This window comes from Homo sapiens, chromosome 6, assembly GCF_000001405.40.
Source record: "Homo sapiens chromosome 6, GRCh38.p14 Primary Assembly".
NCBI classification, from domain to species: domain Eukaryota; kingdom Metazoa; phylum Chordata; class Mammalia; order Primates; family Hominidae; genus Homo; species Homo sapiens.
Genome location: NC_000006.12, coordinates 41,173,718 through 41,201,169, shown reverse-complemented (window position 1 = coordinate 41,201,169; position 27,452 = coordinate 41,173,718). Strand labels below are relative to the sequence as shown.

General features: G+C 47.8%; 1 protein-coding gene and 1 long non-coding RNA gene across 3 annotated transcripts, besides 3 other annotated features; both read left to right on the top strand.

The window, feature by feature from the left end:
- Nucleotides 1-20: 20 nt before the first annotated feature.
- Nucleotides 21-11,421, top strand: TREML2 (triggering receptor expressed on myeloid cells like 2). Of its 2 annotated transcripts, NM_024807.4 has the most exons (5): nt 21-216; nt 2,741-3,061; nt 6,337-6,745; nt 8,269-8,369; nt 8,664-11,421. In NM_024807.4, the coding sequence occupies exons 1-5, from the start codon at nt 162-164 to the stop codon at nt 8,741-8,743; spliced, it is 966 nt and encodes a 321-aa protein (NP_079083.2). In that variant the 5' UTR covers nt 21-161; the 3' UTR covers nt 8,744-11,421. The 2 variants fall into 2 exon arrangements, with proteins under 2 accessions (NP_079083.2, XP_011513219.2); XM_011514917.3 differs by lacking the exon at nt 2,741-3,061.
- Nucleotides 9,320-9,827: an enhancer, noted in NCBI's record as "H3K4me1 hESC enhancer chr6:41159081-41159588 (GRCh37/hg19 assembly coordinates)". NCBI's record gives its function as "activates a minimal SCP1, AML or CMV promoter by ChIP-STARR-seq in primed H9 embryonic stem cells {active_cell/tissue: H9 hESC(primed)}" and the evidence as "EXISTENCE:reporter gene assay evidence [ECO:0000049][PMID:30033119]".
- Nucleotides 9,632-9,701: an enhancer, noted in NCBI's record as "active region_24502". NCBI's record gives its function as "activates an Ori minimal core promoter by ATAC-STARR-seq in GM12878 lymphoblastoid cells {active_cell/tissue: GM12878}" and the evidence as "EXISTENCE:reporter gene assay evidence [ECO:0000049][PMID:35858748]".
- A 3,359-nt stretch (nt 11,422-14,780) lies between the features above and the next one.
- On the top strand, nt 14,781-20,686 carry LOC107986595 (uncharacterized). The gene is made up of 3 exons (XR_001744118.2): nt 14,781-15,193; nt 18,007-18,059; nt 20,483-20,686. It is a non-coding gene; the product is annotated as an uncharacterized LOC107986595 (long non-coding RNA).
- Nucleotides 26,283-26,402: a silencer, noted in NCBI's record as "silent region_17174". NCBI's record gives its function as "represses an Ori minimal core promoter by ATAC-STARR-seq in GM12878 lymphoblastoid cells {active_cell/tissue: GM12878}" and the evidence as "EXISTENCE:reporter gene assay evidence [ECO:0000049][PMID:35858748]".

Sequence of the window (27,452 nt, the reverse complement as noted above, 5' to 3'; positions counted from 1 at the left end):
GGCTGGGGGCAGTGGGTCCCACACTGCCTCACTTCCCTAAATGGGCAGCTTCACTTTTAGAACCCCGGGTCCTTCCCTGGCAGGCCCAGGTGGCACATCCTGTGTCGGGTGGGCCCTCACCTTGGATCTCCAGGCCTGACACTGCCCAGCTGGATGGAACCATGGCCCCAGCCTTCCTGCTGCTGCTGCTGCTGTGGCCACAGGGTTGCGTCTCAGGTGAGGGGAGAAGGGGCTGACTTGTGGAGGAGGGAGTGGGTACAGAGGCAGGAGCTCAGGGCCTTTTTCTTACCCTCCTTACCAGCAGTTTTCTTGTTTAGTGTTTTGTGGGTTGGGGAAGGAGGAGATTAGGGCTGACTTAGCTCTTTACCCTAATATCAGGCCCCAGGCGAAGCTAACCCAGGCCTCCCAAGCCAAGATAAAGCTCTGGACCCTCTCTGCATTGGCTCCTTTATCTGCTAGGCTTCCTCAGGCTTTAAAGCAGAGCCCTCAATTTCCTCACACAAATAGCTTTCTCTGCTTGGCCTCTGTCAGGAAGCCCTGCTTAGTTATGACAGCAATCATTGCATCATGTGTGTTTTGAACTGAATTTGAACATTTTTCTTGAAATGCTGATGCCACATCCTGTCCCTGCCTCTGTCCTGAAGGGACCAGTGTGTGAATGCCTTTCCCACCTCACAGATACCAATGCTCCTTGAGGAACCTCACCCATTCCTGCCCCTCTCGCTGCCATGGCAACCAAGTTACCACTTCCTGTTCAGTTCTGGGCATGGTGGGGGTTGGCAAAACTCACCACTGCCTGTGAGAGGGGTGGGAGGTGTAGGCACACATGAAGACATTGCCCTGGAGACCCATCCCAAGGTCACCCAACTCTGCACCTCCCAGAGGGTAGAGAAACAGCTTCCCACTGCCAGGGCAGAAAGGGGTCTCTCTTGTGCTAAGAAATCCTGGGCTCATCCACCAAATAATGAAGTTGGATCATTCTGTTTAGTTTGCAAGGGACAGAGGGATGCTTAGAGAGGGTGCTGCTTCACACAGAGCCTCAGCTCTAGTGGCTGCTGGCTGGGACTTGGGACGGATATCCTGGATTCTGGTGGGACAGATGTCCTGGATTCTGGGCCCTTGACTGTCACAGCTCTGGGTTCCATTGGGGGAACTGGGAGGCCCCAGCATGTGGGAAAAGGAAGCATGAGTTGAGCATGCACTGTGTGCAAAGCACTGACCTGGGGCAGAATTCTCACAGCAACCTGTGAGGGGTGTGGTGCTATTCTCACTTGACTGATAAAGAAACAGAGATATTTCTGTATCAGTCAAGTGTCTGTTTTGATATTTCTGTATCAAACAGGTGACCTAATCACACCACTAAGTGGTAGAAACAGGGTTTCAACCCTTGTTTATTTTGACTCCAAAATGTGTGCTCTCTGTTCTCTACTATGGGGGAGAGTCTTTTTATATGTGGTTTTTTTGGAAGACTCTGGGGTGAAATTATCAGAAGAGTCAGCTGAGCTTAAGGCAGGCAGAGGGGTGGAGGGAGCCCAAGGCAGCTTTCTCCCTCTCTCTGTCCCCTGAGTCACCCTGCACACCCCAGTTCTGCTCTGTCTCTACCAGACTGTGGATTATGAAGGCTTGGACCACATCTTACTCCTCAGCATAGAGAGAAAGATATTGCAGGTGGAAAGTGAATAATTGTAGAATCCTGTGGTTCACACTCCATTGGGAGTTTGTTTACATGTATATTTAGACAGGCTTGATCTATGGGTTTTATGTAACTAGAATATTTTAAAACTAAACACCAGATGGAATGAACTAAGGAGAGTTATTATTTAAAGAGGACTAAGTGAACCTATTTGTGAAATAAATAACTGTTAATCATATTTTCAAATACTAGATTTTCTTATCTACCTAGTTAGTTGGGCACTGAAATTTCACAACTTAATGACCTGTGTTTGTGTCTCTGCATCTGTCTCACTGAGGGCATGACCTGGGTTTTTCCCACAAGAATTCCCTGGGATGCCGGGCACAGTGGCTCACGCCTGCAATCCCAGCACTTTGGGAGGCCGAGGCAGGTGGATCACGAAGTCAAGAGATTGAGACCATCCTGGCTAACATGGTGAAATCCCGTCTCTACTAAAAATACAAAAAATTAGCCGGACGTGGTGGCAGGCACCTGTAGTCCCAGCTACTCAGGAGGCTGAGGCAGGAGAATAGTTTGAACCCAGGAGGCGGAGGTTACAGTGAGCTGAGATCGTGCCACTGCACTCCAGCCTGGGCAACAGAGCGAGACTCCGTCTCAAAAACAAAACAAAACAAAACAAAACAAAACAAAAATGAATTCCCTGGGAATCCCTGAAGACAGAGCTTGTCACTTTCCCATCAGACTAGAAAATACCATGAGGAAAGGGGCTGTGTCTGATGGAGCTCCGAGTGTAAATGCTGCGTTTCCTCCATTAGACTGGGGACTCACTGAGGGATATACCTGCCTCCTCCATCAGACTGAAAGCTCCCTGAGAGCGGGGGTTGTGTCTCCACTGTAATACTGGAAGCTAGCTGTTTTCAGGGCCCATTCACCTCCCTTCAGATTGGGGCAAGCTCCCTGAAGGCGGGGCTGTATTTCCCCCTCAATCTGTGGGTTCTGTGACAGCAGGACAATATCCACTCTACCCTTCACCATGATCTTCAACTTTCATGATGTCTTCTTCCTCTCCTCTTGCCAGACCTTATTCAATAAGTATTGTCTCCACAGGCCCCTCTGCTGACAGTGTATACACAAAAGTGAGGCTCCTTGAAGGGGAGACTCTGTCTGTGCAGTGCTCCTATAAGGGCTACAAAAACCGCGTGGAGGGCAAGGTTTGGTGCAAAATCAGGAAGAAGAAGTGTGAGCCTGGCTTTGCCCGAGTCTGGGTGAAAGGGCCCCGCTACTTGCTGCAGGACGATGCCCAGGCCAAGGTGGTCAACATCACCATGGTGGCCCTCAAGCTCCAGGACTCAGGCCGATACTGGTGCATGCGCAACACCTCTGGGATCCTGTACCCCTTGATGGGCTTCCAGCTGGATGTGTCTCCAGGTGAGCAGGCTGCAGTGGCTCTGGGACGGGTGGAGGGAGTCCCTCCTGCCCCACACTCCACTAACATCAGAGATAATAAGGATAATAATCCATCAGTGGTCATGTTGCACTGTAGTGTTTTCAGAGTGCCTTTATGGCACTATTCGTGGCACTATTGTCACCATTTTACAGATGAAGATAATGAGACCTGAAAACCCAGTGTGACTCTGAGCTTGTCCGGGGTCCCAGAGCTAGCAGGTGGCTGAGATAAGGTTCAAACTTGGCACTGTCTGTGCTGTGTTTTATTCACTCATTGCTTCAACATAATTCATTGAGCCCCTATTATGGGGCAGGCACTATTCTAGGCTCTAAGGAGACAGTGAGCAAAAACACTCACAATCCTGCACTATGGGAGATGACAGGCACACTTATTATCCAGACAAATAATTGCAGAAAACAAGAGGTGTTCATAAGAAACTAGGAACTGTTTCAAATAATTGCAAATAACTAGAGGTGTTCATGAACTAGTAAGCGACTCGGTGGTGGGGGAGCTACTGAAGTACTGGGGGTCAGAGAACACCTCCCTTAGCAGACAACACCAAGCAGAGCCCTGAATGGTGAGCATTTTCCAGCCCTGTTGAAATCTGGGTGCTTTGAAGAGCACTTTGTCGCAAGAGCTGAATATGCAAAGGTCCTGAGGTCAGAAGGAGCTTGGCTTGTATAAGGCTTATTTAGTCACTCTATATGGAGTGTGAGGCAATGAATGAGGAGGTTGGAGAGTCAAGCAGCCCTGAAGACCATAAGTTGGAATTTAGGTATAAGAGGAAGCTACTAGAGAGCTCAGAGAGCTGTCATGACTTGTTTTTAAGAATGTAGTGGCCACTTGTTGAGGATGGATTGTGAATGGTATGAACACGGGTAGAGAGGCCATTGTGGGCATCTGGCTGGAAACAACAGTGGCCTGGAGTACAATGTAGGCACTAGTGGCAGAGAGATGTGAATGGGCTCAAATCTATGTTTTTCAGACTTTCTGTTCAGCTCATATGTTTTGAAGGTAGGACAGGATTTGCTCAGTTGAGGGGTGAGCCAAAAGGAGGAATCATGGATGATCCAAGGTTTTCTATTTGATCAGCAGGTGGATGATGGTACCATTGATAGCGTAGGGTAAATCTGAAAGAGGAGCTAATTTGGAGGAGAAAAATCAAGAGCTCTCTTTTGTCATGTTAAGTTTAAGATACCTCCTAGAACCCCAAGTGGGGAAATGCAGCCAGCAGTGATATACCTGCCTGGAGCTAGGGTGAGAGGTCAGAGCTGGGGTATGTATTTGAAAGTATCTCTATAAAGATAGTGTTTAAAGTCCAGGGAATTAGAGAAATCTACAGACACAGAAAGTAGATTAGTGGTTGCTTAGGGCTGGGGGAAGGAAAAGGGGATACAGAATCATAGATAAACAGTAAGGGGTTTCTTTTGGAGATGATGAAGGTGTTCTGAAACTCACTGTGATGATGGTTGCATAACTTTGTAAGCATAATAAAGAACCACTGAGCTTTATACTATAAATGGGATGTGAGTTATATCTCAATAAAGTTCTTAAAAATATCAAGATCTAAAAGCTCTCCCTTGAGTGTAGGCAAAAAAGAGTGGAGCACCAAGCCGTGGGGTCCTTCCACATTTATTAGATAGAAAAGGGAAAGGACTCAGCTAAAGACCCCGGAAAAGGCAGCCAGTTATTATGCAATTTACTATCCATCCTTCCCCGTTCACCTAACCCAATTGCATCTCCATCTTCCACAGGGTCTGAACTAGGGAAAATGCTGTCGCTAAAATGTGGAGCCAAATCTCATTGCTCCCCTCTCCAGTTCTGAGTGAGACCCAGGGAAGTCGAAACTGGTTCACTGAAGTCTTAATATTTAGGGATAGAAACATTAAACATTATATGCTTTTATTTTTTCTCATCATTTCCTCTAATCATGTTATGTCACATCTCACTTTCCACCTCTTAAGGACAATTTGTGAAGATTTCAACTTTGCAGACCTTTTCTGTTATTAGGAAATAAAAAAAATCCTTATTCCAACTACAAACTCTGGTCATCTAGCAGTATAGGATATTCCACTGCCCCCTGAAGACCAGGTTTTATGGTCCAAGGCATCTAAAGTGGAGAAGGAAAGTTACTGGCTGCCCAGCTCCCCATCCTGCATCTTGGGCTGTGAAGAAGGCGGGGTTCCTCTTGGTTACCTCTTCTTGGCCCTCTTAGTGTGTTGATGCAGGAATGAGGGAGGGGGAGATGGTTATGTGGCTTAACTGAGTGTTGTAGGAATGCTTTCCCTGTTGGATGTCATTGCTTGTCTGCCAGCCCTTTGAGATCCTCTCTGAGTGTCCATATACTCTCCCAAGGCACTGATGTGTGAATTCTCTGAAGAGTTCTTTGGGGGTGTCCCCACTGCTGAGTATGATGTTGTGGGAGCTCTGACTCCAGGTGAGCGTCTTCCTCTATTCCCATCCTCACCAATGCTGCTTGTTCTGGGTCCCCTTCTCCAGAAAAATGGCTCAAGCTCAGCCACCTTCCATGATGACAATTTGGCCCTTAGGAAATTGCCCTTTCCATGCACAGTAGTGGGATGTAGCAGCCTCTGTCTCCAATTTTCACATTCCATGCTGAGATAAAACCATCACTCACTGCTAGGTTGATGCCTCACAGCTCCTCCACCTCCCTCCTCATCCACTGTCCAAAACCCAGGCTTCTTCTAGAAAATGGGATGGAAAAGGGCTGGGTTGATGGGTGAGTGTAGCAGGACCAGTTTGATATCTCTTAGTGAGCCCCCAAGGAAAGTGTCTGACCCCAACTGACTGCAGCTTTCTTTGGAATTTGAGGACCTTGATGCCTCCTTGTCCTCATCTCTGGACCCTACTTGTCAATTATGGAATAGCTGGAAAAGTTCTTGTTTGACATTATTTTATGGAAATCTTTTTGGCCCATAGGAACGAAGAGGGCCTGGAAAGTGAAAAGAGAGAGATGGGGATGGAGAGGGAACAGGTGGCCTGACACGGGAGGGAAAAAGAAATTGTGGTAGTCTCTCCCTTCTTCAGTACACCTACTTCCTTCCTCCTGATATCACTTTCTGAACAAATACACATCTGATCACTCAGCAGCCAGAATCCTAGGCCCAAGGTCAAGGAGAAGAGAAGAGGACAGGCCCCCATCCAGGCTTCCAGGCAACTGTGTGGGTTGCCAGGATCTGCTCCCAGCACTGAGGCACCCAAGTCAATCTAACGTTCCTCCCTTTCTGTCTTTCAGCTCCCCAAACTGAGAGGAACATTCCTTTCACACATCTGGACAACATCCTCAAGAGTGGAACTGTCACAACTGGCCAAGCCCCTACCTCAGGCCCTGATGCCCCTTTTACCACTGGTGTGATGGTGTTCACCCCAGGACTCATCACCTTGCCTAGGCTCTTAGCCTCCACCAGACCTGCCTCCAAGACAGGCTACAGCTTCACTGCTACCAGCACCACCAGCCAGGGACCCAGGAGGACCATGGGGTCCCAGACAGTGACCGCGTCTCCCAGCAATGCCAGGGACTCCTCTGCTGGCCCAGAATCCATCTCCACTAAGTCTGGGGACCTCAGCACCAGATCGCCCACCACAGGGCTCTGCCTCACCAGCAGATCTCTCCTCAACAGACTACCCTCCATGCCCTCCATCAGGTACCTGTGGGGCCTGGGGTTGAGTGGCACCAGCACTTAGTGCCCAAACAGACCTGGAGGTGCAAGTCTTATATCTGACCTTCCCCTTTTGCTCCCCAGGAACCCAATGTGGCCTGCTTCTGAATGTGAGGTGGGGGACTGGAAGTGACATAAAGGATGGCAATGGAGAGGAGGGGCAGGAGAGAGGAGGGGCAGGGGAAAGGAGGGTCGGGGGTGGGGAGGAGGGGCAGGGGAAAGGAGGGTCAGTGGGGAGGAGGGGCAGGGGAAAGAAGGGTGGGGACAGGAGGGACAGGGGAAAGGAGGGTCGGGGGAGGAGGATCAGGGAGGAGGAAGGTCAGGTGAAAGGAGGATCAGGAAGGATGAGGGTCAGTGGGGAGCGGAGTTGGTGGGAGGAAGGTGGGGGAAGTGTCAGCAGAGAGGAGGGTCGGGATAAAGGTAGGGGGAGATGAGGGTTGCAGGGATGAGGGCAGGGGACTATGAGAGTCGGGGGCATTAGGGTCAGGGGGATGAGGATGGGGGTAAATGAAGGTTGTGGGGGAGGAGAGTCAGAGAAGAAGGTCAGTGGGAGGAGTATCAGGGGAGAGGGGGGCTGCAGAGATGAGGGTAGGGGGCAATGAGAGTTGGTAGAATTAGGGCCAGGGGGGATGAGAGTCAGAGATGAGCATGTCAGGGGATGGGTGTCCTGAAGTGTCTGTGGATGGAGAGGAGAGGGTGAGGATAGGGCAAGGATGCGCCTCATGGAGTAGGAAGTGGAAAATGGGGGATGCTTTAATTTGGATTCCTCTAGAGAAACTGACTCTGAGTCAGGGATTTGCGTCTTATATGAACACTGGAAAAAAGGTGGGGGAGTGGGACAGGGCAGGGAAGGCCTCTAATAAAGAGTACTTAACCAAGCAGCTGCTGTGCACAACAAGAGCCTAATCCCAACGGGGAGAGTCAGATCTAGCATAAAACACACATCTGAAGGGCAAAGGAGCCCGCATAGTTACACACCAACTCCAATTGGTTATCAGTAGAGGGCTGCCTGCTGTGTGTGGCATAGAGGGCTCTAGTGACAAGAGAAAGGCCTCAGCCTCCCACCCACAGAAAAGGAGGTGCTGATGATGTGTGCAGGTGGAAATGACACAGGCAAGAGGACACAGGCAGGGGCCCGACAGCATCTGCTACAGAGGATAGAGTGGGGGAACAGGCATCCTCAGACCCCTTGAGGAGAGCAAGCATCTTGATCTCTTTAGCCACAAATGGGAGTCTCCTAGAATCCTCATCCTCACTGATGAACAGATTTGGGGGCATAATGGAGGAGAGGTACCAAAGTAGAGAGATGTTCCCCTCTACCTGGGGACGTCCTCCTCTTAACTCCGGATGTCACACTTGCTTCTGTGGCCGGGTCTGTAAGGAAGAGGGTGGCCGTCTACCCCGGGAAGGGCACGCTCTCAGGGTTTCTGCTGCTGGTCCGATCCCAACGTGGGTTAGGATGGGGGACCTTGGTGCTCACCCGCTTCCACCCTGTCCCTTCTTCTCAGGCACCAGGATGTTTACTCCACTGTGCTTGGGGTGGTGCTGACCCTCCTGGTGCTGATGCTGATCATGGTCTATGGGTTTTGGAAGAAGAGACACATGGCAAGTGAGTAGAGCCCACCTCCCAGCCTCCTGAGGGCAGAGCTCTGGGTAACTGCACTAAGGGTTATGACCTCGAGTCCCCACGTGGTATGGCCCTTGGCCTGTGTCCAGTCAAAAGGACTATGACGCTTCCACCTGGGGAGGAGGGCGGCCAGGCGGAGACCACCCAGCACAACCCTAAGGGGATGACCTGGAAGGAACCAGAGGCAGAGCCAGAAAGGGGCTGGGGCTGGTGGAGGAGCATCGGGGCACCGTGGGCAGGGCAGGACACTTCCTCAGCTCTCCCTGTTTCTTGCAGGCTACAGCATGTGCAGCGATCCTTCTACACGTGACCCACCTGGAAGACCAGAGCCCTATGTGGAAGTCTACTTGATCTGAGGCCACTTAAGCATGGGGTGGGGAGCTTCTCCCAGAGTGGCCCCAGGGGGTTAGAGGAGGGGTGAAGATTGGGGCCAGTATCGATCTTATGAAGCTGGAGGACTTGTGCAGTGCTGGACTCACCCAGGACTTCCCAAACCCAGAGGCTGCCATCCTAAGCAGCCCCACAGCCCAGTGTTCTCCTTGGGGGCAGGAACCTGGGGAGGGGCCCAGAGCAAAGGGCATCAGGGAGAAAGTCCCGAGGAAATGTGACCAGTGGTTTCTGCTCGGAGCTGCAGACCCCAGGGCTCTTGGTGGAGGCAGGGGAACCCTGAGAGTGCTGTTTACAGAGAACCTCAGCTCCCGTCTGCCTCAGAAACCCTATTGGGCTGAGCTGCCCTCCCCACCAGGGCCACTGTGTCCTCTGCTTCCCTCCGTTCTGCTTCAGCTTCCCCTAAGGTTAGGGAAGAAAGAATCGGGCTCACGAATGCCAGAGGCAGTGATGTCCCATCCTGGAGGAGAGGAAACAGTGACTAAAAGCTGGGGACCCACAGAGGGGTTGGCAGCTTCTCTTGTCGGGACAGGTGTCCTTTGCTGGGCCTCTGGATGGCCCTGCCCTGACTGGGGCTGCTCCTCCCTCCTGTCCTGGGACCGCGCAGAGCCCACGCTCTCACTGCTGCCTCCTGCTGGCCGCTGCCTCCTTAGAAAGCTGTGACCAGGCAGCTAAGAGCCTCTGGGCTGCAGGGTCAGCCTCTCCCAAGACTGAAGTGCAGAGGCTGGACTTGGGGCTCTCTCCCCCAGCTTCTACACCTGGGCTCCAAGTCTGAGTTCCCACAGGGGACCCAGCAGCCTCCAGGAAGTCCATACCCTGGGGTGGCTGAGACCTTGGCTCTGTATGGAGGCTGCTCACCCCACAGACACTGGTGGGGAGACCATGGCTCAGAGGAAGGGTGGAGCAACCCTCCTCCTACCCCTCAGGATAGAGAGAGAAGACACACTTGGGACACAGTGAAGACAGTAACTTGGAACTGACCACGGCCTGGAGGACTGGCCCAGGCAGGGGGACAGGGAAAATGGAGCCCAAGTAGCCTCTGGCCAGGGACCCAATGTCCCGAGGAATCTGCCTCCCACCCACTGACTCAGGGCTCAGACTCAGCCTCTATTGTCCAGAGCACTGGCTTGGCGTCCAGCAATGAAGGCTGGAGAATGCAGCCTGGATTCCCCTACACACACACACACACACACACACACACACACACACACACACACACACACACAGGTGTCTACTGACCTGGAGTGACTGGAATAGCACCTGGGGATAAATGTGACAACTGTGCATTGAACCCTGGGTCAGGGACGTTCCAATGGCCAAGAGAGTGACACAGCCAGGACCCTGGTGGACAGCCAGAGGGGCCACTTCAGGATGGATGTGGGGAGAGTGGAAGAGGCAGGGAGTAATCCTGGGGGACAGCAGGGAGGAGGCACTTCTTCCCTATGTCCAGGAGAGGGCAATAGAGGGAAGACTGAGGCTGAAGAATTGACGGCTCTGGACCCAGGACAGACAGACAGACAGACAGACAGACAGACAGACAGACACGCACACACACCCATCTCTGTCTAGCAAGCAGCCTCCTAAGATAGCTGTTCTCCCTATCATGACGGTGTAGCCACCATCCTGTTGTATACTAGGAGAGAACTTAACCCACCTGGGGGAAAATAGCTCCCCAAGAGCTGGCACCAGTACCACTGATGGCCCTGCTTCCTCTGAGTGAGATGCCCAGGAGGAGGAGCCCTAGGGAAGAAGTCAGGGACAGGGACCAGGATACCACTCTGTCACTGTGTGACCCTCAGCAAGTCACTAACCCTTGGCCTCATTTTTCCTGTCTTGTGAAAGAGGACAATAATTCCTACTTCTCAAGATTGTTTTCAAGATAAAATAACATTAGCATTGTACAATGATGCAAATGCCTCATTACCATTATTCCTTAAGTTGTTTTCCAGCTCTAATGTTGTTTCCAACATTACATTTAAGACCTTAGGATTCTGTTTCTTGCTTTTGTCATATCTCTTCCCAAGTGTCATCACTATATGGATGTTGAGGGCCCCCGATGACAGTCCCTTTGGTAAGGTCCTCTTTTGAGGAGGGGAGGGTACAGGGTGGACTCATCTCAGTGTGAACTTGGCAAGTCACTGTCCCTCTCTGATCTTGTTTCCTCATCTGGAGAAGGAGTGAGAGAGGAGAAAGGAAGAAACCAGTCAGGCAGGCAGTTAGGGTGGGTTCTCGGTAGAATTCTTTTAAACAAAAGAACAGCCTGAAAAATCAAGCTGCAGGCACAGATATGGGAACTTGCACAGGGGGGCTTGCCTAAGACATGCCCACAGCCTCATAGATAAGACAGACTACACAGGTGACTTGCCCAAACATGCCTGCAATGGAAAATTTCATCCCCTGACATGTGCAGTAAGGGGAACAAAGCAATATGGAGTAAGTAACTCAAGCCAAGGGCCCACATGTACATTAGAAGGACAGCAGGGAGCTACCAGAAATTCATGCCTTATGCAGATGAGCTGCCCAGTCCTCATCGGTTTCTTATAAAAGCCTTTACATTCAACTGTAAAAATGGCAACCCTCTTTCAGGCCTCCTCTCCACAGCAGAGAGCTTTCTTCTCTCACTCATTAAACTTTCACTCCAACCTCATCCTTGGTGTCCACGCTCCTTAATTTTCATTGTTGTGAGACAAAGAACTCCAGTGATACCTCAAACAATGAGAGACTGCTACATTGTGGTGCACTGGTGAGACTGTAACAGGAGGGTGGAGAGGAGCTCTGAAGCCTCTTCTGACTTCCTTGGGTATGTGTGTCAGAGGTGTTTAAACCAGATGGACTCCATCTTGTATAGAGGCTGAGTAAAATAAGGCTGAGACCTACCGGGTTGCCTTCCCAGATGTTAGGCATTCTAAGTCACAGGGTGAGATAGGTTGACACAAGATACAGGTCATAAAGACCTTGCTGATAAAACAGGTTTGCAGTAAAGAAATCAGCTAAAACCCACCAAAACCAAGATGGCAATGAGAGTGACCTCTGGCTGTCCTCACTGCACATTATATGCAAATTATAATGCATTAGCATGATAAGAGACACTCCCACCAGCACCATGTCAGCTTACAAATGCCATGGCAACATCAGGAAGTTACCTTATATGGTCTGAAAAGAGGAGGAACCCTCAGCTCCAGGAATTGCCCACCCCTTTCCTGGAAAACTCATGAATAATCCACCCCTTGTTTAGCATATAATCAAGAAGTAACAATAAATATAAGCAGCTAAGCAGCCCATGTTGCTGCTCTGCCTATAGAGTAGCCATTCTTTATTCCTTTACTTTTTAAATAAACTTGCTTTCATTTTACCATATGCATTTACCCTGAATTCTTTCTTGCATGAGATCCAAGAACCCTCTCTTGGGGTCTGGATCGGGATCCCTTTCCAGTAACATGTGCAGAACAGTTGCATGGACACAGCTCAGCATTAATGAGGTGGGGCACACCGGAAAAGAACAAGAACCAGCCCTGGCCTCAATCTGCTCACAGCCTCTGAGGGAAGGGAGACATGGCACTGCTGGGTACACCCCAGACCTTAGCACAGGGTAAGACACCACAGTGCAAGAGATAGGAGGTTCTCAAGTCCTTCCAAGATGGGGAACTGGGAATCCTGCAGGCTCTGGCTAGCCAGGCAGGCTTCAGGGAGGAGGTGGGGCTCTATCTGAGGCGCAAACCACAGGGTGGAGTCAGGAGGTGAGATCTAGGTGCAGAGACTGCACAGGCCATGGCAGCTGGGAGCCATGGGGAGGCTTGACGAGAAGGGCTGTGGAGGGTGGAAGGGGACATGGCCACTCACCAGCTGGTTGCTGAACCCAAGCAGAGGCCTTTAGCTGTGTCCTGAAGTAGAGCACGGTAGCTGTGAGGGTGACCAACTGTCCCTGTATGCCCCTGAGGGGTTCCTGGAACCAAGTGAACCAGCACAATTTGCTCACCCTAGGAGCCTGCTCCCATATGAACTCCCATGGTAAGGACACGGGGGCTGAGGAGCTATAGACCAAGCCCCATATCCCCAGCCCCAACTGGACACTTTCCTAAACACACCAGCCTTTCACTTCCTCCCTCCTCTCTCAACCTTCTTCTCGAAGCTCCAGGGACCCAGATCCACAGCAGATCCACGGCAGGAAGGTGCAGGGCAGGTGGGGCATCGGACAGGCTGCTCACTTTAGCAGGTGAGACAATAAAGCTTCCTGAGCAACAGGCTGTGGACATAGAACACACACCTGGGAAGGGCTGGCCATCATGGCCAATGGAAGAACAAATAAAGTAAATCCAGTACCTCCTGGATATACACACACCTGCATGGAGCCCAGCAAGCAGGCATTAGGTTTACAGTTCTCTTCAATGGCTGCAACATGCTTTCACTCTGGATCAAATTGAGAGAGTGGATGCCGTGCTGCCAGCTCCTCATGTGGGACTGATGGACATTAGGAGTGGTGAGGGCAGGTCTCCTCTGCCAGCTTCTCTGGGGTCTTCCTCAGCTGCAGAAAGCCACCTTGCCAAGGCCAGACTCCCCTCCCAGGACACCCCACCTCCCCTGACTGACAAGTCCTGAAGGGCCATCCTGTCTTAGGAACTCCTCCCAGGATAGCCTGAGTCTCCTTATGGCCTCTATTGCAGCCTGACTTCTCCTTCTGCCTGTGAAAGGAAAATAAATCTCAGAACCCCAAAATCACTAAGCCAGGGGAAAAATCAAGCTGGGAACTACAGCAGGCAAACTGGCCTCGCATTTTATTCCTAAATAAGATAGCTACAAAGATTAAAAAACTATGTACCTCCCTCACAATTTGCCCACAAGACAATTCTTTGTGGGCCTTGAGATCTTTACCCTAAAACAGTTCTGTTGATTTTCACCCTGGCAATGTAAACTGCTAGCTGGTCTTCACAGGTGCAGGAAAGAAAGTTATCCCTCTGCTTGCCTAGGACAAATGCGTATCTGATTGCTTCTCTGCCCTATTGTTTATGTAAAAATGCAGATTCACTGAGCCAGACTAAATTGTGTGTTCAGTGAAAGACTGATAGAGGACTTAAAAGAATGCAACCTTTTGTCTCTTATCTATCTACGACTTGGAAGCCGCCTTTCCCACTGCCCCGTCCACACAAACCCTGGACCAAATGCACATTGGTCCAGACCGAGTCGATATACATCTTACATATAATTATTGATGCCTCACGTCTCCCTAACATGTATAAAAACAAGCTGTGCCCCAACCACCTTGGGCACATGTCTTCAGGGCTCCTGAGACTATTATAGGCATGTCCTTAACCTTGGCAAAGTAGACTTTCTGAATTGATTGAGGCCTCTCTCTGATATTTTGGATTCACATGCCCCATCCTGCTTCCTGCTCTTCTCTTCCCCAGATGTTGGTCCCAGAGCGCTTTAAACCTCCAGTGCTAATCTGCAGCTGACTCTGTGCCCAGGAACCCAACCTGCAGCACCACGGTTTATAGTTTTTCTTTTCTTTGTTGTTTATTAACTGTCAATCGCCTGTGACAATTGATTTTCTATAGTTCATCTAAGGACAATTATTTTTAAATGTGTTTGATTAGTGTCATCTTTCATCAAAGGCTCTGGAGTGATTATGGCAGCTCAGAGCTGGGGAAGGAGATGATCTGGGGACTGAGATACCCTTTCCCCTCCTCCTCCCTTCCCCATCTTCCCCTCCCCAGGCTTTACTCTCTCCCACCTTTGCCATAGACACCCCCTGCACCTCCATTCCTGGAAGTGAATCTCCATCTCTTTTCTCCTCTTCCCCTCCTGTTGACATGGAACTCCCCGGTTCCAGGCAGGCCTGGTCATGAAGTCTCTGACCCCTGGGAGCCAATGGGTCTTCAGGTTCTAGTCAGACCTCCAAAAGGCTCCCTAACACTGTCACTCACCTTCAGCCTGTGTGTTAGCTGGGTGAGGAAGAGAAACTTCAGGCTGGGGAGGAAGTGGTAGAATAGAGGGGAGAGAGGAGAAAGAGGTTTTTATTTCGCCATAGTTTCCTCCTGGACTTTCTCAGCTTTTCCCACCCCAGCGCCAGTGGGAGGGAGGTGGCCTGACAAGTGGGAAGAGGCTGGGGCCAGAGGAAACCAGCAGGAGCTACAGAGTATAGGCTGAGGCCTTTCCAGGCCCGGATGTAGAGCCTGCAGCTGGAGGGGCTCGTGTAGGCCAAGGCGTCCCCCTTCCTTCCAGGCCTCCTGCTTCCTCAAGGGAGACTTTGACTTCCTCAGCAATTCATCCCCAGGGCCGGATCCTGCCAGCGCTGGTTCCCGCTCCCCAGGGTTTCCCCGCTGCCTCACTTTCCTCCCACCATCCCGGCTCAAGAAGAGGACCCATGACCTTGGAGGCCACACACCTGCTGTTGAGAGTTCTGCTGGTGCTCCTGGCCTCAGGTGAGGGGAAGGGGAGCAGGGCCAAGGGAGGGGGACAGGAACCTTTTTCTTACAGGGTTGTTGTGAAGATTCAAGGAAAATACGGACTTGAAGGGCCCAGTTCAATTCATAGCACATGACCAGGGCTGTTTCTTTCACCTCTGTCCTCCTTCCAGCCCTTGTCCGTGAGCAGGAGAGCTATTCCAGAGTACTGTGGGTCTAGGGAAAGGGCACACTGTGTAGTTACCACAACCTGTGGCCTGCTTTGTTTTCTACCTCTGCCTGATGGTTTCCAGGCCCCAGCCACGGGCACTGACAGTGTCTTCCTGCCTCTGTCCTCCCCTCCCTTCTCTCCATCCACCATCACTCCAGATGATGAATGCTGGGCTCTTGCAAACCATACTTTCTTGCATCAAGAGATTAAACCAGAAACCAAGGGGTGCTGATCACCTGAGCTGAGAGATGTTCCTGAACTGCTTGTCCTCCCCCTTTGACATCTGACAACCCAGACACCTTCCCTAAAAGCCTGCTATGGTATAAAACAGTCTACCTCTGTGTTCTTCCTTTGACTTAAAATGGGACCTATTAAAATGTATTTTTTATCTGGGAGAGCTATTTGTCAATGACATCAGTATACTCTGAGAGCTCACTGCATTTCCTAGAGAAGGGTTGAGCTTAAGGACCTGAGACAGAAATGTGAAGCAAAGGGTGCCAGGAGAGCTGGGTGGAGACCCTGCAATAGGGGCCCAGATAGAAAGCCAAGGGATAACAATTGCAAAAGGGAAAGAGCAAGGACTTGAGATAGCAGTTTTGCACAGAAAGAAACCGACCCTGAGGTGGAATGGCTTACCCTAGACAACATGGTTTGTGGGGAAGAGCCCCTGATCACATGGCTGCCTACTGGTCAGCTGAGCCGAAGGAGACCTCAGAGGACAGGCTAGAAGCTGGGGAGGGCCTGTGGTGACAACAGGCATGGCAGGAGGGATGAATTTCAGGGCAGGAGGTTGGTCTGGGCTCTGACTTTCCTCATCAGGCGGGTCCTTATTCCAAAGCCCCCCAGTCAAGTCCATCATCCTGGGTGTGGCAGTGACCGTTGTGCTGCTGCTGCTGCTGCTTGCCCTCCTCATCAACCGGTACCTCCAGAAAGCCCGAGGAAGAGCTAGGAAAGTGAGTCCTGGTCACTGGCTCTGAGCAGACAGCCAAGTGCTTAGCGATTTCTAGGGCAGCCTGAGAGCCGTGAGGACAAGGATTGTTTTTTTATTTTTTTTATTTTTTATTATTGTACTTTAAGTTCTAGGACACATGTGCACAACGTGCAGGTTTGTTACATATGTATACATGTGCCATGTTGCTGTGCTGCACCCATTAACTCGTCATTTACATTAGGTATATGTCCTAATGCTATCCCTCCCCCTTCTCCCTACCCCACGGCAGGCCCCCGTGTGTGATGTTCCCCACCCTGTGTCCAAGTGTTCTCATTGTTCAATTCCCACCTATAAGTGAGAACATGCGGTATTTGGTTTTCTGTCCTTGTGATAGTTTGCTCAGAATGATGGTTTCCAGCTTCATCCATGTCCCTACAAGGACATGAACTCATCGAGGACAAGGATTCTTATGCTCATTTTACCAACTAGGAAACTGAGGCCTGAGAAGTAAAGTGGCCAAGATCCCCTGGGAGCCCCAAATGGCTTCCCTTCCTTCTGCCAGAGCAACAGCCTGGGCAGCCCTGAGGGCGGTGGACTCATCATCTTCTAAGGCTCCAGGTCAGCTCACCCAAAGCCAATTCAACTCAGTGCCAATTTGTCTACAACTAGGTGTGCTAGTATCCATTTTGGATCATGTATTTTTTGCCAACTTTTAGGTTAAGACTTTTAAAACAAATCTATGTAAAGATGTTCCTGGTTCATGGTATTGTTTTTTAATTGTTTTTATCATTTAAAAATGTCGTCTTCCTAAAAGCACTTCCAGGACTTTTTAATCTTCAAAGTTTTAAGTTTTTAGCATTAATCACATATGAAATCTGTAGCATCTTGTCTAAGATTTATCAGATTAGTCCCCTTTAATGAATGTTACCTCCTTTCTTGCTGTTTTATGTTGGTTGGTTGGTTTGACACATAGGTACTGTGTGCTCAATAGCCCTATACTGAAGATGTTTCTGTTGACAAAAAGACTGAAACGTGGGAGTGGGCCAGAGGTATATTGGACTTCATTGGTTTTAATTATTCAAGCTATGAAAATCCAAAGAAAGCAGTGGGTTGTAAAATTTTATATACCTATTTTTAATCAGTGTAAAATCAATTTAATAGGTCACAACAGGATTTTTATAAAAACATAATAGAAGAGCATAATGTCATAATGCTTTACCCTTTTTTTGTTAAACTTTTATTTTAGGAGTGTGTGTGAATATGTGTCTGGGTGTGAGAGTGTATGAGTGTGTTTGTGTAAGTGGTAGATAAATTGTGAATCACACTGGAGCTCCTGGTTCAAAAAATTGGAAAGACAGTACTACATATAAATTCATCAGCAAATAGATTATACTTAGGTCTAATTTTAAATTTGGAATTTTCAGCAACCTGGAATTGATAATTAACTTTACGGATTTTATGCACATTAATCATAGACAGCCAGTTTGTTTTGCTCCTTCGTATACCTGGACACCACTCTTGCTGGGCACTGGGGACCTCCCCAGGCAGAATGTGGCCACTGATCCAGCCCTGGCCTCTTTCCCATCAGTGTCCCTTCTGCCCAGCCAGGACCCCAATATCTCCCTCATGTTTCCATGGGAGTTGGGTTGGGAGAGATTCCTTGCTTAACCTTGACTGTCTTCTTTGCAGGTGAGGGTGAATCTTACCATGTTTATGATGACGTCCAAAAGGAGAAGACCACTGTGAGTAAGAATGACCCTTCCCTAGGACAGCAGTACCACAGCTTTCCTGTGCAACTTTATTCTTGTCTTTTTTAATTTCCTGGTTTATACTTACTCTTAGTTCCTATTTACTCTAAATCTTGCCTCGCACTGGTGACTACTCATTCCCCTGCTGCCTCATGCATGGCTTAGCTACGTGTTTCCTTTCTCTCTGTTTCCCAATTCAAATCTCCTAGAGAAAAAGAGAAGTTGGCTAACCCAGCTTTGCCCTTCACCCCTGTGGAAGGCAGCTTTTCATGTCTCATAGGTCATGAACCAGCTTGTGGATTGGCTACCATTTGTCCAGTCAGCTGTGGGGAAGGGTGTCACATGGCAGACAACATGGCTCCCCTAGGATGCTCTCCTAGCAGGTGCGAGAGACTAGGCAGTTTCCCTTGGGTAAGTCTGTCTTGTCTAAAGATCTGAGACTCTTGGAATCACAGAACTGCAGAATTCAAATGATCTAAAGTCATCTTGATCAACCCTCTGTGTAACATTGGAATCAACTCTACAAATAACATCCCTACCAAGTGCTCTTTTAGCTCGGTGCTACTCAAACTTGAGTGTGCATAAAACCACTTGAAGAGCTTGTTAAAACAGTTTCCTGGGCCTCACCTAAGACACTTTGCCTTAACACATCTGGCATGGAGCCTGATGATGCATTTTTAACAAGCTCTGAGGTGATCTGGTGCTACTGGCCTGGGAACTGAAGGCAGAATTTACTGGACAGTGAGCACTTATCAAGTACTCACATTGATATAGAGCTGCTTTACCAGTGATGAATGCCCTCCATGTGGCAAAGACAGCTACCAACCAGCAGGGGTCACCTCCTCCTTAAAGGGATATGAGGAAGGAGGAGCAAAGAAAAGTCAAGTACTTATCAACTAGAGGGCAGAAGGTTTGAGTCTGAGGGCTGTGATAAGATCATGGAGGAGATTTCTGGACACTTGCACCCCTGTTCCCCAGGATCTGCTAGGACAGAGTCCAGGTAGATAGGGTCTGGGGACCCAGTGCCTTTGAGTAACCCAATTCTCGCCTCCCTCTGTGGCCATCACTTCCTTTCTGACAAAGGGCTATGAAATCCTGACAGATTGTGCATGCATTTTATTGGTGCCTATGTCCTTGAGAGACCCCTCCCTTAACTGTCCTCTCAGGGCCTCTAAGCCAGGCTGAGGAGTTCTGCCCTCCCCCTAACCCCCAAGCCAGATCCCTCTTCTCTTCCCTGTCCTCCTGATTGAAAATCCCCTCCCACTCATGAGATTCTTATGACCCTGCCAGAAGGAATGCCAGGATGTGGGTAGTGCCTACTGCTCAGGAGTCTCCCTGGCCCTAGCTCTCGCCCTGTCTTTGCCAGGCAGGGTGTGGTGAGGACCTTCCTTCCCTATGGCCATCCACACAGCTCCATCAGAACTGATTTGGGCACCTCTGCCTTGCACAGAATCATTATCCAGTCTGCTAGCTGCATCTCAGTCAAACAGAGTGGGCTGGGGGCTGCCTCCTGCTTGGCCCACATATTTTCCAAAGGGCCCTTCTGGAGACAGGGGTCCCTCTTTTATTGTGTGTCCCCAAGAAGTGACTTTGAACTCTGGGAACTTCAGGCCAAGTGACCAGAAGTGGTATCCTGCTACATCATGGGGAAGATTGCTTGGAGTTGCAGATTCCCAATGGTGACCTTAAAGGTCCCTGATTCTAGCTTCCAGTGGGACGCCAAAACCCTCTCTACAAACTTCAGTAAGGAGTCATGAAGTCTCTGCCTCCATCTGTCAAAGGGCAGGAAGCTCACCAACTCCTCCTTAGGCAGCTGGCTTGTGAAAGCTTTTGTTAAATAGGACTTGGCTTGTCCTCAGTCAGAGTGAGACATCAGCCTTGTCCACAGGACGAGACTGAAGTCAGGCTACATCATGGCCAGAAAGAGAGGAGGATGGAGAGAAGAAGGGTGGGAGGTTTGAGGCCTGGAGGGCCAGGTTGTGAGGATGAGGTCTTCCTCTGGGAGAAAGGTAGGTAAGCTCCTATTACTTATGACTGTGACATCTGTGCTGCCATCATCCACCTTCTAGGGTCCCAGTGTCAAGGATGTGGTTCTGTCCTCAGCCTTTGGCTCCATGGGGACACAAACCTGTAGGGCCAGACACTCAGGCTAAGGGAGATGGGGAACAAGGAGGGAATGGGGTGTTCTGGGTGTCACCCTGGCTCCTGAGTTTCTAATCCTGCCCTGCCTGGCTTAGTCTCCTCCTGCAAGCTGGATCTGACTGCTGAAGGCTAGGCAATTGCTGCACCATGCTTTTCCACCTGAGCTAGCCCTGTTTTGAGAAGGTCACTGGTGTTGAACTGTGGCCTCATTTGACCTCTGGTCCTTCACAGTTATAGGCTCTTGACAGTGCCTCCGTGTTTGTTGTATATTTTAGACTACATACCACTGGGAGAGCCCATCTCCAACAAATGATCCCTGACTTGGATTTCCTGTTTGCATTGGTCTGGCTGCAGCACCAGGAGCCACCCTCATGAACTGTCAAAACCCGGGGGATTTACCTAGACCTAGAGCTCCAACGTTACTTCTTATTTTTTGAAACAGAGTCATTCTGTCACCCAGGCTGGAGTGCAGTGGCATGATCTTGGCTCCCTGTAACCTCCGCCTCCCAGGTTCAAGCCATTCTCCTGCCTCAGCCTCCTGAGTAGCTGGTACTACAAGTGCGTGCCAATCCTGGCTAATTTTTGTATTTTTAGTAGAGATGGGGTTTCACCATTTTGGCCAGGCTGGTCTCGAACTCCTGGCTTCATGTGATCCTCCCGCCTCAGCCTCTCAAAGTGCTGGGATTACAGGGGTGAGCCACCACCCCGGCCAACTCTAACAGTTTTGACTGATCTGTATAAATTACACAAGCATTTAGGGGTGGCTACTGACTGTCAGGTACTGTGCTCAGGGTTGAGGATACAGAGATTAATTCTAGCAAGCCGACATTTATGGAGTGCTTATTATGTGCCAGATTCCTTTTCATGGATTAATGGCTCGAACATCCCTGTAAGGTATTTTACATATTTAGATATTGTGGCATAGAGAGGTTAAGTAATTTCCTGAATTCACACAGCTAGTAAATGATGAATTCTAGACTCCGAAGTTTTAACCACTATGCTTCTGGGTCCCTGTTCCCTTAAAGATTGTGTGTGTGTGTGTGTGTGTGTGTGTGTGTGTGTGTGTGTGTGTGTGTGTTTGTGTTTGGGGAGATGCATGGAAAAACAATGACGATATAAAGCAGTCACGGCTACAGCTAGAGGAATGCTGAAGGTGCCAGAGGAGGATGGAGAGGATGGGGGAAGCATGACCTTTCCTGACACAAGCCTCCAGGAGGCAAGAGGGGAGAGCAGGGGTGCAGCTGACTCAGCTGGGGAGTTCAAGGGGCAAGATTCCTAATTAACCAGCGGCCCCAGACAGGAGGATGTGGGTTCCTCCTCCCCACCCTGCCCCAGGGAAAGGGCTACCCCTGCTACCACCAAAGGCCTGAAGGCACCTTTCCAAAGCTATGACCTCGGGAATGTACACCTTTTCCTTATCTCAGTACCGGGGCATCCATGGCAACCTCAGGCCCCACAGGAGGGGTATGTGAGGAGGACCAGGACAGATTGGAGAGGGAGAGCTGGCCCTTGATCTCTGGAGTCCCAGGAGGCTTCAGGCCCACTGTGCATGTCTGAGTGTGTAAGCAGCCTTCTCCCTGCGGGTCGTTCTTCAGGCCACACAGTGGGCCCTCCCTTCACTTCATCTCCCTATGCTCTTGATGCATATGACACAGTATGCAAAAATTTTATTCATCAACCTGCATATTTGATCTTTGGGTGGTTGTTTCAAACTACTATTTTGAGATAACTCATTATCCAGCAACAAACAATCAAAACAAATAGCCAAGACAAACGTGAAGAACAAGGCTATGGGGAAAGGAGATGGCCTTACCCTATCAGAAACCAAGACTTACTACGAAGTCATAGTAATTATCATGCAATCCTGGAGTGGAAAACTGGCAAAGGCAACAGAATCAAGAAGCAAGGAACAGATCCATGTATATATGGCAACTTGATATTTGACAGAGCAGGCATTATGAATCAGGTGGAAAGAAGAGAATATTTAATGCTGCTGATACAACAATCTAGCCATGTGGGGAAAAACATAAAATTAGATTCCTACCTTATGTCTTATACAAAAATAAATTCCAGGTGGGTTATCAACCGAAATGTGAGTAGCCCAACAATAAAATGTTTAGACAAAAATATGAGTTGTTTATGACTTCAGGGGCCAGAATGATTTCTTAAGCAAGATCAGGAGTGATGGCGCACACCTGTAATCCCAACACTTTGGGAAGCTGAAGCCGGTGGATCACTTTAGCCCAGGAGTTTGAGACCAGCCTAGACAATGTGGCAAAACCTCATCTCTACTAAAAATACAAAAATTAGCTGGGCGTGGTGGTGTGTGCCTGTAATTCCAGCTACTTGTGAGGCTGAAGAATGAGAATCACTTGAACCTGGGAGGCGGAGGTTGCAATGAGCCAAGATCACGCCACTGCGCTCCAGCCTGGGTGAAAAAGCACAAACCATAAAGGGTAAAATAATATGACATATTTGGCTATATTAAAATTGAAAACTTTGGTCCAAAGAAGATACGAGAAACAAAGTGAAAGGATGGGCCACCGACAGGGAGAGGCATTTGCAATGCATAGAACTGATTAAAGATTAGTGGCCAAAATTTATGAAGAACTCATTCAAATCATAAAAAGGACAAACCACTTTCAATTGACCTATAGGGAGAAACAAAACACAGAAAATTTAAAAACCAAAGGCACATAGATAATGTTTAACTTCACTAGAAATCAGAAGAATTCAAATCTCAGCTAGATGCAATTATATACGGATTGGTAGGGGGCTTCAAATATGCCTGTAATTATTTATTTAATATATATTATAACATATATTTACACACACACACACACACACACACATATAGTCAGAGAGAGAAATGACCTCACATTTTCTAATTCTAAGGAGTCTATTATAATAATCATAGAAAAAACATATATAGTTCCATGGAGGCATTTAGGTAGCCCAATGGCATTTGTTCTGTAAAATGCATATAAAATCACTTGGGGTATGTGTTGATTGATATCAGGTTTCTATTACATCAGTGGTTGATGCAACATGGAGGCAATAACGCATGGGAACGGGGAAAAATTTAAACATGGCACTATATACAAATTTTAGTGTTATGTAAGTTTACTATAAAATTCCACCTAATACAATGAAAGAGATAACATAAGCTTTTCATCTCCTAGATTTGAAGCAATTTTGTTTTTTTCCCTTCATTTTCAAATACAGCAAAATATTAAGGATTGACAAAACTGAGTGATAGGTACAAGTGTTAGTTATATTAGTCTCTACACTTCCCCATGTGCTTAAAATATTTCTTAATTAGAAAAAAAAAAGCTATTGCAGAAGTCTACACAAGAGCCATAGCCCAGGGTGCTGTAACTTGAGGAAGAGAGAGTGGCATTGAAGAGAGGACTTAAGGTGCCACCACCTGGCTTGAGAAGAGAGACGGCCATGAGGATAGCAGAAGCGTGGGGATGGATGTGGGGGAAAGAGGAGTGATGGTCTTCTGTCTGGTGTAGCTGGTGAGAAAGAGGGAAGAATTGAAAACACACAGGGATGTACTGCCAGTTTGACTAGGAGAAGCCTGGTGACGAGTGAGTGACAGTGAAAGATAAGTTAGGAGAATCAGTTTGGGGAGGAAGAAAATGAACTTAGGTTTGCATCTTCATGCAACTGCAAGACAGTTAACCTTAAGAAGCTGCTGATGAGCATCTGGAGCTCAAAAGAGAGATCAGGACTAGGTCACTTGCTGACCCAGAGGAAAGTGGTCAGAAGGGCTCTGATTTTTAGGGGGATAGTTTTGTTCAGGTGATGAGAGAAAGAAGAGGATTCCAGGAAGGAGTCAGAGAAGCTACCAGAGAGGCAAAGGACATACGAGTATTCTACAATGTACTAGTCAGGGTTAGCTAGCTGCTGTAATAAAAAATGTTAACAAGTTTATTTCTCACTCCCATCACATGGAGGTTGGTGAGGAAGCTCTGCTCTGCTCCACGCATCACTCAGGAACCCAAGTTTCTTCCAGCTAGTGGCTTTCTTGTCCTTTGGAATCTCAGAGCCCTCCACTGCATCCTCTATATCTGGGCAGCAAATGAGAGAAGAGAGAGAGAACATTCAAGATTGCACAGGAGGCTTTATGGGACAGCCCTGGAAGTAGCAAACTTGAAATTTCATTTCTTTCAGAACCCCATCATGTGGCCACCTCTAACTGCAAGAGAGGTTGGAAGACAGTCTAGCTGTGTTCTCAGGAGGAAATAGTTGGGTGAACAACTACTTGGTCTCTTCCAATAGTCAAAATGTTGAGAAATGAAAGTTCTAAATCCTATGGGAAGCTTCCCTACGCTACAGAAATTTGACCTGTCTTCTCTTTCCTAACGGCTACTTCTCCTGCCTGAGCTTCTTTCCTCTGAGAATCCTTGCTGGATTTCTCAAAATAAGCCCTGTTCCTCTCCTCTTGCAACTATCATATGTACAACTTATTTACAAGCTGGACTTTGCAGTGGTCTTGTCTTTCATGGAGTTTCATTCTAGGAAACTCAGTACACACACACACACACACGCGCGCGCGCGCGCGCGCATCATCAGAGTAATCTACAACTTTATTCTGTCCTCCAAGGAAACACGAGTTTATATTCTCAAAGCCCATATTTATCTTGCTGTCAATACCTGGCAGCTACCTTCTCACTCACATCTCCCAACCAAATCTCTCCTCGAGCCAGTTTTTCCTGGCTCTTTAATCCTTTGCCCGCCTACTGATAGGTCATTAGTGTCTCCACTGAGAAGACATGTTTCCTCAGCCAGAACCAGAATTCGATAAGTTGGGGCTGAGTCAGGTGAAAGAGTGGATTCTCCATGTCTCTTTGATCCCTGATATTCTAGGTCTTGTGTTTTAGGAGTTGTGATATTTGAGGCTGTGGTGATGGTTTGGAGATCCAAGGCATGAGATTGACTAAAGATGGGTTTGTTACACAACAGTAGCCTTGTAACACAAAAGCAGTGAATCAAGAGCGAAGGCGAGTAAGCTCACTGTATCTGTTAAAGGATTGAGACTCGCTTCTCAGTGTTTCACAAAACATTGATTTTCCAAGAGATATTAATAAGTGTTATGTGAACTTACTAGGACCATGCTACTAATATATTTTCTCCAAATATTTTTAATGTAAGGAAAAATAAGCCATGTTTATTACAATTTGCAAGAACCAACTTTTAGAAACTCTTTTAATATCTACTAATAACAGGATAATTAAATAAATTGCTATATCCACACCAGGGAATCCCACGTAGACATTATAAAGAATGAAGTAAGCCTGTATTTGTTGATATGGAAAGATGTCCCCGATATATTAAATGGGAAAAATGACAGCCCTAAAATAAGCTTGTGTGTGTGTGTGTGAGTATGTGTGCACGCACATGTATGTACAAACACAGAAAAAAGTCTAGATGACTAAGCACCAAAATATTAGTAGTAGTGATTCCCTCTGGGGAATGGGATTATAAGAGTGGAAGAAAATTCCACTCTTAATAAAATTGTTAACAAGTCTGGCTCTGGAGTCGGACTACCTAGGTTTAAACCTAAGTTCCACCTTTTACTAGTTGGGTGATCCTGGACAAGTTATTTAACATCCCTGAGTCTCAGTTATCTGGAAAAATAATATTACCTGCCTCATAGGTAATGATGTAATACATTACTCATTAATGTGTTAATACAATATGCATTACAATATTGATTAACATACTATATTGATATATTAACATCAATATAATACATTGATTTATAATGATGCTGTAAATACTTTATGTAAAATGTTTAGAACAATGCCTATCACATGGTAAGCACTCAATAAATGTTAGTGTTTTCAGTGGGGAAGTTATGGACAACTTTTACCTTTTCAGAGTGAATTTTTATGTATTTTTCACAGAAAAAGTCATTAAATATGGTTTTTAAAAGATTTTGAAAATGCTTAACATATTTTATATAGTTAATAGTGTTAAATTAAGTTTAGCCTAAAGTTGCCTCCTTGCATATTTTAAGTCTGGCCTAAAAGTTTCAGTACATAGTGGATTGTAACGTAACTGGATGTGTAAAGAGGCTGTAACCTGCTCTTGTGCCAATCACCAAGTTTCCTTCAAACAAAGGTGGCCAATTATGTTCAAATAAAGCAAATGCCAAGCTGTAAGAAACCCAGCTGCTTCTGTATTTCACTTCTGTTTTCCGTATGTCATTTTCATTTTTCTACCCATAAATCTTCTTCAGCCATGTGATAGGATTGGAGCCTCTCTGACCTATTCTGATTTTGGGGGATACCTGATTTGTGAGTCATTTTTTTGCTCAATAAAACTCTGTTAAATTTAATTTGTCTAAGGTTTTTCTTTTAACAATAGATATAATCCCCTTTGAAGCTGTGTCCCTCCTAAGTATGGCAGGTAACCCTGGGAGAAATTGCCCGTTACTAGAAGGTACGTTGTTTTGACTGCATAAGAAGTACTTACCTCCCAGCACTTTGGGAGGCTGAGATGGGTGGATCACGAGGTCAGGAGTTCGAGACCAGCCTGGCCAACATGGTGAAACCCAATCTCTACTAAAAATACAAAAATTAGTTGGGCATGGTGGTGGGCACCTGTAATCCCAGCTGCTTGGGAGGCTGAGGCAGGAGAATTGTTTGAACCTGGGATGCGGAGGATGCTGAGATCGTGCCATTGCACTCCAGTCTGGGCAACAGGGCGAGACCTGGGTGACAGGGCGAGACTCCATCTCAAAAAAAAAAAAAAAAAAATGGAAGTACTTACCAAGTAACTATTGATATCATTGATGTATGTCTTCTCCTTAGTAAGTGCTATTATGCCTTGAGTCATAATTTTAACACATAGGTCTTTTAAAATTAGTTAATATTTCTAAGCTGACATTTTAAAAATTCTGCTTAAAAGTATTGGAGAATCAAATTTTGTAGTAACTGATTTGTCTTAAGGACTATTTTTGCTTTCTACTCTAATCCAGGCATAGGTTATAACTCCAGAGCTCCTGTTGATGTTGTGAAATTTAGAACAGTTTTAAAAGAGTTTCATGGTTAAATAATATTAGGATGCACTTTGGTTTCAGGATGTATTTTCTTGTTTGATCCCGAGCTGCCCAGTGTGCTGTGGGTGTAAAGGGAAGAACTTGTGACCTAGCTTAGATGAGGACATTCCAGGGAAACAGTGCCCCACCATCTATGGGGTCCACCAGTGCTGTTCCATTAGTGGGAATCGAAC